Genomic DNA, 9490 nt, shown 5'->3' with positions numbered 1-9490 from the left:
CTACAAGAGTGAGACTCCGTCTCAAAAAAAAAAAAAAAAATAGCTGGGTGTGGTGGCACACACCTGTAGTCCCAGCTACTCGGTAGGCTGAGGTGGGAGAATCACTTGAATCCAGGAGGCAGAGGTTGCAGTGAGCCGAGATTGCGCCACCGCACTCCAGCCTGGGTGACAGAGTGAGACTCTGTCTCAAAAAAAAGAAAAAGAAAAAAAAGAATATGCCACAGTGCATTTGTTCATTTCTCCTGCTGGTGGACACTTGGGTCCTTCCAGCACCACTGTGAACATTGTGATGAACGTTCCTGCACACACACACCTCTCTAGAACAGTCACCAGGAGTGGAGCTGCTGGGTCATGGGGTGTGGGTGAGTCCATTGCTGGTGCTGGGGTTTCCTTGGTGTTTGTACAACTTCCATTCCCGCCAGCACATATGAGAGAATTCTTTGTTTGAAATCTCTGCCAACACTAAGTATTGATGACGCTCATCTTTTCGCAAGTGTAATGATTTTCGCAAGTGTAATGATCTGATATCATGTCACTCTCCCAATTTAAGCCCTACTTTTTTTTTTTTTTTTTTTTTTTTGGAAACAGAGTCTCACTCTGTCACCCAGGCTAGAGTACAGTGGCATAATCTCGGCTCACTGCAACCTCCACCTCCCGGGTTCGAGTGATTCTCTGATCTCAGCCTCCCAAGTATCTGGGACTATTGGTGCACGCCACCACGGTTGTCTAATTTTTTGTATTTTTGGTAGAGACGATGTTTCACCCTGTTGTCCAGGATGGTCTTGAACTCCCAAGCTCAAACAATCTGCCCACCTCGGCCTCCCAGAGTGCTGAGGTTACAGGCTGGAGCCACCCAGCCCAGCCTAGATTTTTACCTTGATGAAAATCCTGATTTGGGAATAGAGTCAGCTCCACAGCGGGTCATCTGATTTTTTTTTTTTTTTTTGAGACGGAGTCTCGCTCTGTCACCCAGGCTGGAGTGCACTGGGCTCACTGCAACCTCCACCTCCCGGGTTCAAGCGATTCCCCCGCCTCAGCCTCCCGAGTAGCTGGGATTACAGGCACCCACCACCACGCACGACTGATTTCTGTATTTTTGTAGAGATGGGGTTTCACCATGTTGAGCAAGCTGGTCTTGAACTCCTGACCTCAGATGAATCACCCGCCTCGGCCTCCTAAAGTGCTGGGATTACAGGCATGAGCCACCACACCCAGACTGTTCTTTTCTCTTACGTTTGGTCACCTGATGCCTCTGAACTCCCTCTTCCACTCTCTCTACATCCTGATGCACAATTTATTTGAAAAGGAGGAAACATTTTCTGTCCCAAGTCCCTTTTTACTCCTTTCTTTCCCAACAAAACCTGTACAGAATCCTCACACTACTGTGTTCTATAGAGGAGCGGAGAGGGAGACCAGTTCTCCACTCCCCTGGCCCTGCTGACACCTGGAGGGTGCCAGGCATGTTCATGGAAACAGCAGCATTGCAGCCTTCCTTCCTTCCCCACAGCTGTATCCGTGTGAGTCTGGACAACAAGGACTTGTCAACACGAATCTCTCTCTTCTCCTGGTGTAAGACAAAACAAAAACAAAAGACGTTGGAGTAGAGATCAGAAAAGGGTGGGTTTGAGATGTTTGGGAGGGTTGAGTGGGCATTTTGACAACTTAGCTTCTCCTTGGGTGGTATTTAGCAGACGCCCTTGTGGTTTAAACTGTAGCTTTAGATATAAAATCCACTCTTGGCCGGGTGCGGTGGCTCACGCCTGTAATCTCAGCACTCTGGGAGGCTGAGGCAGTCAGATCACAAGATCAAGATCAGCAGATTGAGACCATCCTGGCTAACACGGTGAAACCCCGTCTCTACTAAAATAATAAAAAAAAATTAGCTGGGCATAGTGGTGGGCGCCTGTAGTCCCAGCTACTGGGGAGGCTGAGGCAGAAGAATGGCATGAACCCAGGAGGCGGAGCTTGCAGTGAGCCAAGGTCGTGCCACTGCACTCCAGCCTGGGCGACAGAGCGAGACTCCGTCTCAAAAAAAAAAAAAAGAAAATCCACTTCTAATGCTACCTGGGGCCCTGCTGCTTGATGGAGAAACTGAAGAACATAAAGGATCTTGTTTGAGGGTTTTTGTTGTTGTTGTTGTTGTATATTTGTTTGTTTTGAGGCAGGGTTTTGCCCTTTCACCCAGGCTGGAGTGTGGTGGCACAATCACAGCTCACTGCAGTCTCGAACTCCTGGGCTCAGATGATCCTCCTGCCTCAGCCTCCCAAGTAGCTGGGACCACAGGCGTGCACTGCCATGCCTGGCTAAATTTTGTATTTTTTTTAGGGACAAGTTTTGCCATGTTGCCCAGGCTGGTCTTAAACTCCTAGGCTCAATCTAGCCTCCCACCTCAGCCTCCCAAAGTGCTGGAATTATAGGCATGACCCACTACACACTACACCTAGTTTTTGTTATTTATTTATTTTTTAGAGGCAGAGTCTCACTCTGTTGCTCGGCCAGGCTGGAGTTGAGTGGTGCCATCATAGCTCACTGCAGTCTTAAACTCCTGGGCTCAAATGATCCTCCAGTCTCAGCCTCCCAAGTAGCTGGAACCATAGGTGCACATCACAATGCCAGGCTAAATTTTGAAATTTTTTGTAGAGATGGGGTCTCTGATACTGCCCAGGCTGGTTTCAAGCTCCTGGGCTCACATGATCCTCCTGCTTCAGCCTTCCAAGTAGCTGGGACCACAGGCATGTACCTGGTCCAAGCCTGGCTTCTATATTTTTGTAGAGTTGGGGGATCTTGCTCCATTGCCCAGGCTGATCTCAAGCTCCTGGGCTCAAGTGTTCCTCCTGCTTCAGCCTCCCAAAGTGCTGCAATTACAGGCATGAGCCACTGCACCCAGCCTCAGCCTAACAGATTTTTTTTTTTTTTTGAGATAGAGTCTCGCTGTGTTGCCCAGGCTGGAGTGCAGTGGTGCGATCTCGGCTCACTATAACCTCCACCTCCCAGGTTCAAGTGATTCTCGTGCCTCGGCCTCCCAAGTAGCTGAGAGTACAGGTGCATGCCACCATGCTCGACTAATTTTTGGGTTTTGTTGTTGTTGTTGTTTTTTAAGATTGAGTCTCGCTCTGTCGCCCAGGCTGGAGTGCAGTGGCACGATCTCAGCTCACTGCAAGCTCCGCCTCCCGGGTTCACGCCATTCTCCTGCCTCAGCCTCCCGAGTAGCTGGGACTACAGGCGCCTGCCACCACACCCGGCTAATTTTTGTATTTTTAGTAGAGATGGGGTTTCACCATGTTAGCCAAGATGGTCTCAATCTCCTGACCTCATGATCCGCCCGCCTTGGCCTCCCAAAGTGCTGGGATTACAGGTGTGAGCCACCGCGCCTGGCCTAATTTTTGTATTTTTAATAGAGACGGCATTTCGCCGTGTTGGCCAGGCTGGTCTTGAACTCCTGACCTCATGTGATCTGCCCGCCTCAGCCTCCCAAAGTGCTGGGATTACAGGCGTGAGCCACCGCGCCTGGCCAGATCTTATTTGGAAATGGTATTCTGCATTGTAATTTTTGTTCTGTTTTACTTTTACATTTTCTTTTTACTACATATCTAGGATTTGCTTTAAAACATCCCAGCCAAGAAAAAGAGGGGAAGGGGAGGATAGTTTGGAGCACATTGGCAAAATCCTGATTGCTATTTAAGCTGGGCAGTGGGTCCACAGGGGTTCACTGTACTCTTCTGTCTACTTTTGTAAATGTTTAAAAATGTTTGTTGTAAAAAGTTCCTTGGTTTTCCTTATGTTTCTCTGGAGAGGAAAAAAGATGTTCAGTTTTATATCTTAAAATGTACAAGCTACCTTGTTAGAATAAAACTAAATGTTTATGCTGCTGGGCACCAGGGCTCATGCCTGTAATACCAGAACTTTGGGAGGCCAAGATGGTGGATCACCTGAGGTCAGGAGCTTGAGACCAACCTGGCCAGCATGATGAAACCCTGTCTCTACTAAAAATAAAAAAATTAGTCGGGAGTGGTGGTGCACTCCTGTAATCCCAGCTACTCAGGAGGCTGAGGCAGGAAGATCACTTTAATCCTGGAGGAGAAGGTTGCAGTGAGCTGAAATCTCACCACTGCACTCCAGCCTGAGCGACACAGCAAGACTCTCTCTCAAAAAAAAAACAAAAAACAAACAAACAAAAAAAACCCAGGACTAGTTCATCAAGAAGCAAAATAATATGACAAACCCTACTTAAATGATTTCATCTGGTTTCAACCACTGCCAGCTGGTTTGATCCAGTTTCAGCTGGTTTCAAATGACTTCATCCAGTTTCAGCCAGGTTAATTCAGCTTCAGCTGGTTGTGAACAGTTTGTGGCTCCTTTCAACCAGTTTCAGGTGGTTTCAGCCAAGGTCATCCAATGTTGGCTGGCTCCAACTGATTTAACTCCTGTTTCAACTGGATTCAGCTGATTTCCACTCTCCTTAAGGCTGTGCTGTCCAATTCAGTAGCTCCTAGCTACATGCAGCTCTTTACATTTAAATTGATTAAAATTAAAGGAAGGCCAAGTTCGCTGGCTCACCCTGTAATCCCAGCACTTTGGGAGGCCGAGGTGGGAGGATCACTTGAGGTCAGGAGTTCAAGACCAGGCTGGCCAACATGGTGAAACCTTGTCTCTACTAAAAATACAAAAAACATTAGCCAGGCATGGTGGTGGGTGCCTATAGTCCCAACTATTCAGGAGGCTGAGTCAGGAGAATCATTTGAACCTGGGAGGTGGAGGTTGCAGTGAGCCGAGATCACGCCACTGCACTGGCAGCCTGGGCAACAGCAAGACTCTGTCTCAAACAAATAGATAAAATGAAATCAAAATTTCATTTCTAGTGTTACAGGCAGAATGTTTGTGGACTCTCCAAAATTCATATGTCAAACTCCTAACTCCCAATGTGATGGTATTTGGAGGCAAGAAGTTTGGGAGGTGATCACGTTGAGATGAGGTTATAAGGGTGGAATTCACTTGATGGGATTAGCAGCCTTTCGAGAAGAGTCATCACAGAGCTTGCTTCCTCTCTCCCTGTCTTGGTCCATTCTGGCACTGCTATAAAGAAAAACCTGAGACTGGGTAATTTATAAAGAAAAGAGGGGTGTTTTGTTTTGTTCTTGGAGATGGAGTTTCACTGTCGTCACCCAGGCAAGAGTGCAATGGCACGATCTTGGCTCACTGCCACCTCCACCTCCTGGGTTCAAGCCATTCTCCTGCCTCAGCCTCCTGAGTAGCTGGATTACAGGCATCTGCCACCACGTCCAGCAAATTTTTGTATTTTTAGTAGAGACGGGGGTTTCACCATGTTGCCCAGGCTGGTCTCGAACTCATGACCTCAGGTGATCCACCCACCTTGGCCTCCCAAAATGCTGGGATTACAGGTGTGAGCCACCACACCCAGCCAAGAAAAGAGTTTTAATTGGCTCACGTTCCACAGGCTGTACAGGACTCATGATTCTGACATCTGCTTAGCTTCTGGGGAGGTCTCAGGAAACTTACAATCATGGTGGAAGGTAAAGGGGAAGCATGCACATCTCACATGGTCAGAGCAAGAGGATGAGAGAGAGGTGGGGAGGTGCTACTCACTTTTAAACAAGCAGAGCTCATGATAACCTACCATGAAAACAGCATGGAGGGGATGGTGCCAGCCCATTCATGAGAAATCCACCCCATGATTTAATCACCTCCTACCAGGCCCCACCTCCAACACTGGGGATTACAATTTGACATGAAACCTCTTTTTTTTTCTTTTTTTGTTTTTTTTTGAGACACAGTTTCACTCTGTCACCCAGGCTGGAGTGTAGTGGCGCCATCTGGGCTCACTGCAACTTCTGCCTCCCAGGTTCAAGCGATTCTCCTGCCTCAGCCTCCTAAGTAACTGGGATTACAGGCGCCCACCACTACACGCGGCTAATTTTGTATTTTTAGTGGAGACAGGGTTTCACCATGTGGTCCAGGCTAATCTCAAAGTCCTGGCCTCAGGTGATCCGCCCACCTCGGCCTCCCAAAGTGCTGGGATTACAGGTGTGAGCCACTGCACCTGGTCTCGACATGAGATTTAAGCGGGGGACACAGAGCCAAACTATATCACTCCCCATCATGTGAGGATACAGGGAGAAGACAGCCATCCACAAACCAGGAAGTGGGCCCTCACCAGACACCAATCTGCTGGTTCCTCAATCTTGGAATTGTGAGAGAGAAATGTGTGTTGTTAAGCCACCCAGCCTATGGTTTTCTGTAACAGAAGCCCAAATAGACTAAGATACTCAGTCACGCTGCTCACAATTCCAGTGCCCACAAGGGCCAGGACCACGTGTGTTCAAGTGGCCAGCATATTGGATGGTGCATTCATAGAACATTTCCATCACCACAGATGGTCCTTCTGGGCAGCTCTGCTCTCGGGAGGAGTTCAGATGTAGAGATCATGGCAGCAAAAGTCTCTCAGAGTCAGGTGAGAGGCAGAAAGATAAGTCTGTTATTGGCTGGGCGCGGTGGCTCACACCTATAATCCCAGCACTCTGGGAGGCCAAGGCATGCAGATCACAAGGTCAGGAGATCGAGACCATCCTGGCTGACACGGTGAAACCCTGTCTCTACTAAAAATACAAAAAATTAGCTGGACGTGTTGGCAGCTGCCTGTAGTCCCAGCTATTCAGGAGGCTGAGGCAGGAGAATGGCGTGATCCCAGGAGGCGGAGCTTGCAGTGAGCCAAGATCGTGTCTCTGCACTCCAGCCTGGGCAACGGGAGATTCTGTCCCCCACCCCCCCAAAAAAGGACGTCTGTTGTTAACACCAGGAATGATCATTGTCACTTTTTTTTTTTTTTGAGACAGAGTTTCACTGTTGTTGCCCAGGCTGGAGTGCAATGGCTCACTGCAACCTCCACCTCCTGGGTTCAAGTTGTTCTCCTGCCTCAGCTTCCTGAGTAGCTACAGGTGCCCACAACCACACCCAGCTAATTTTTGTATTTTTAGTAGAGATGGGGTTTCACCATGTTGGCCAGGCTGGTCTGGAACTCCTGACCTCAGGTGATCTGCCCACCTCAGCCTCCCAAAGTGCTGGGATTACAGGCGTGAGCCACCGTGCCCAGCCCATTGTCACTTTTTACTGAGCACCTGCTATCTACCAGGGAGTGTCAAATGCGTAAAAATGCTATCAGTATGCCTTCCAACAACTCTATAGAGTGGGCATTATCACCCATATTAACAGGGAAGGAAAATGAGGGTTTTTTCCTTTTTTGTTTGTTTGTTTGGTTTTGGTTTTGGTTACTGAGACAGGGTCATACTCTGTCTCCCAGGCTGGAGTACAGTGGCACCCCTCATAGCTCACTGCAGCCTCAACCTCCCAGGCTCAAGTAATCCCCCCAAGTAGCTGGGACTACAGGCATGCACCACCATGCCTGGCTTTTTTTTTTTTTTTTAGAGGTGGGGTCTCACTATGTTGCCCAGGCTGGTCTCAAACTCCTGTTCTCAAGCGATCCTCCTGCCTCAGCCTACCAAAGTGCTGAGGTTACAGGCGTGAGCCACTGCACCTGGCTAGGAAACTGAGTTTTTTCAGTGGTAGAGGCTCCTAGCCAGTGGCCAAGGGAAAGAGAGAGTTCTGGGTTCAGGGGCTGGCAGGAAGTCAGCAAGACACCAGGGACTCGGCTCCACTGGCTGGATCTCAGGGAAGAGCAACTGCCACAGTGGGGACCTGGAACACAAAGGGAAACTGAGGCAGCAGCTGCACCACAGGGTTGGCAGTACCTGATAAGGGAAGAGGATGACTTCCATAAGTAGGCCCACAGGTGCCCACGGCTCCCCATACCCACTGGGTGCCAGGTCTAAAACCATGAGACCAGTACCAGCACCAACCACTCAAGGAGCTGAGACGGCTGACCCACTCTCTGCCCTGGCTAGGACTGGCCCCAGCACCCCCAGTGGGGAGGCCGCAATGATCCCAGCTGCCAAGGGCCCAGGAACACTAGCAACAGAAGAATGGCCAAAGTGACAGGGAACCCTTGAGACCCTAGAGCAGCAATGCCTGGGCCAGGCCTGATCCTTCCCACCAGCCCCCAGCCATTCCTGGCCTTCTGCCATGCTTCCTGGTTGGTCTGCAAAGTGCCTGGGGCAAATACCTTCTGGGAGAAGAGTAGAGAGGGTACCCAGGCTCCATGGGCCTCAGGATTCCTGAAGTGGGAGGCTCCTCTCTGATGATAGGGTCTCCCTGCTCTGAACAGAAATTCCCTAGCCTCAGGGACATGTTGAATCTTGTCACCCAGAGGAACCAAGTGGCTGGGTGGTAGCCCAGTGCAGTGGCTCACGCCTGTAACCTCAACACTTTGGGAGGCCAAGACAGGCGGATCACGAGGTCAAGAGATTGAGACCATCCTGGCTAACATGGTAAAACCCCATCTCTACTAAAAATACAAAAATTAGCTGGGTGCGGTGGTGGGCACCTGTAATCCCAGCTACTCGGGAGGCTGAGGCAGGAGAATCGCTTGAACCTGGGAGGCAGAGGTTGCAGTGAGCTGAGATAGTGCCACTGCACTTCAGCCCGGGCAACAGAGTGAGACTCCATCTGAAAAAAAAAAAAAAAAAAAAAAAAAAAAAAAAGAGGCTGGGCAGCAAAATAAAATGGTTCCCCAGTTCAGCCTTCGGAGGTACCAACCGTCTGTTAGCAGAGCTCTAAGACCAACTGGGTTCCCACTCCAGGAATATTCCCCTCCCCACAGGGGCTGGGGAGATGGAGTCCGGGGCTGTGCTGCCCTCTGGAGCAGCCCCCTTGGACTGGCCCTCACTGTTCTCCGGGGCCCTGGGAAGCCATGCAGAGAGGCAGAGGTCCTTTAGAGGCTGCTGTCAAGGGACTGCAAATCTGCTTGAGGTGTGACATATCTGTTTTTAGAACAAGAACATCACACCAGCAGGAGCCGGTGGCCAGAGCTGGAGGGAAGGGGGGGATCCAGGTCCAATTCCCATGTATCTAGGGCACATGTGCACAGCACTGAGGGCCACTCCAGCCCCTCCCCAGCTCTCAGAGGACCCTGCTCCCACCCGCCTTTTGCTCTGCTATCAGGCAGATGGCATTGTCTCTGCTTTGCAACTGATGAAATAGGAACTCTGACTTCTGGGCTAGGCTGAGAGGGTGCTTGATGCTGCCATTCCGGGCCCAGGTGAGACATTCGGTCATGAGCATCTGTAGTCCTTGCCTGAGTCTCTGAGCCTGCCAGGGCAGAGCAGAAGCAAATGCATGAAGGCCCCTCCCCCAGGGGCTGCTCTTAGCCAGTGACTGATGAAAATGGGTGTATAAACAGCTTAGCCACATGACCCCACACAGGTGGGACAACCATGGGTTTCCACATTCTGTACTGCCTCCCAGAGGTCCCCACCAGGTTTAAGCTCAATTGCCCACACTGGTAACTGGTAACTTCCTTGATAACACTCACTTCTTTTTTCATTCTTTTGGTGTTTTTTTAGATGGAGTTTTGCTCTTG

The 9490-nt window shown here is 49.9% G+C and overlaps 1 annotated feature.

Moving 5' to 3' along the window:
• Positions 7596 to 7759: a silencer, noted in NCBI's record as "fragment chr7:99886514-99886677 (GRCh37/hg19 assembly coordinates)". NCBI's record gives its function as "represses an EF-1alpha promoter that drives an FKBP-Casp9 reporter gene in an ReSE screen in HepG2 liver carcinoma cells {active_cell/tissue: HepG2}" and the evidence as "EXISTENCE:reporter gene assay evidence [ECO:0000049][PMID:32094911]".

The sequence above is a fragment of the Homo sapiens genome, chromosome 7 (genome assembly GCF_000001405.40).
Source record: "Homo sapiens chromosome 7, GRCh38.p14 Primary Assembly".
NCBI classification, from domain to species: Eukaryota; Metazoa; Chordata; class Mammalia; order Primates; family Hominidae; genus Homo; species Homo sapiens.
Note: the sequence above shows the minus strand (reverse complement) of the source record. Positions and strands in the feature narration are given on the sequence as shown.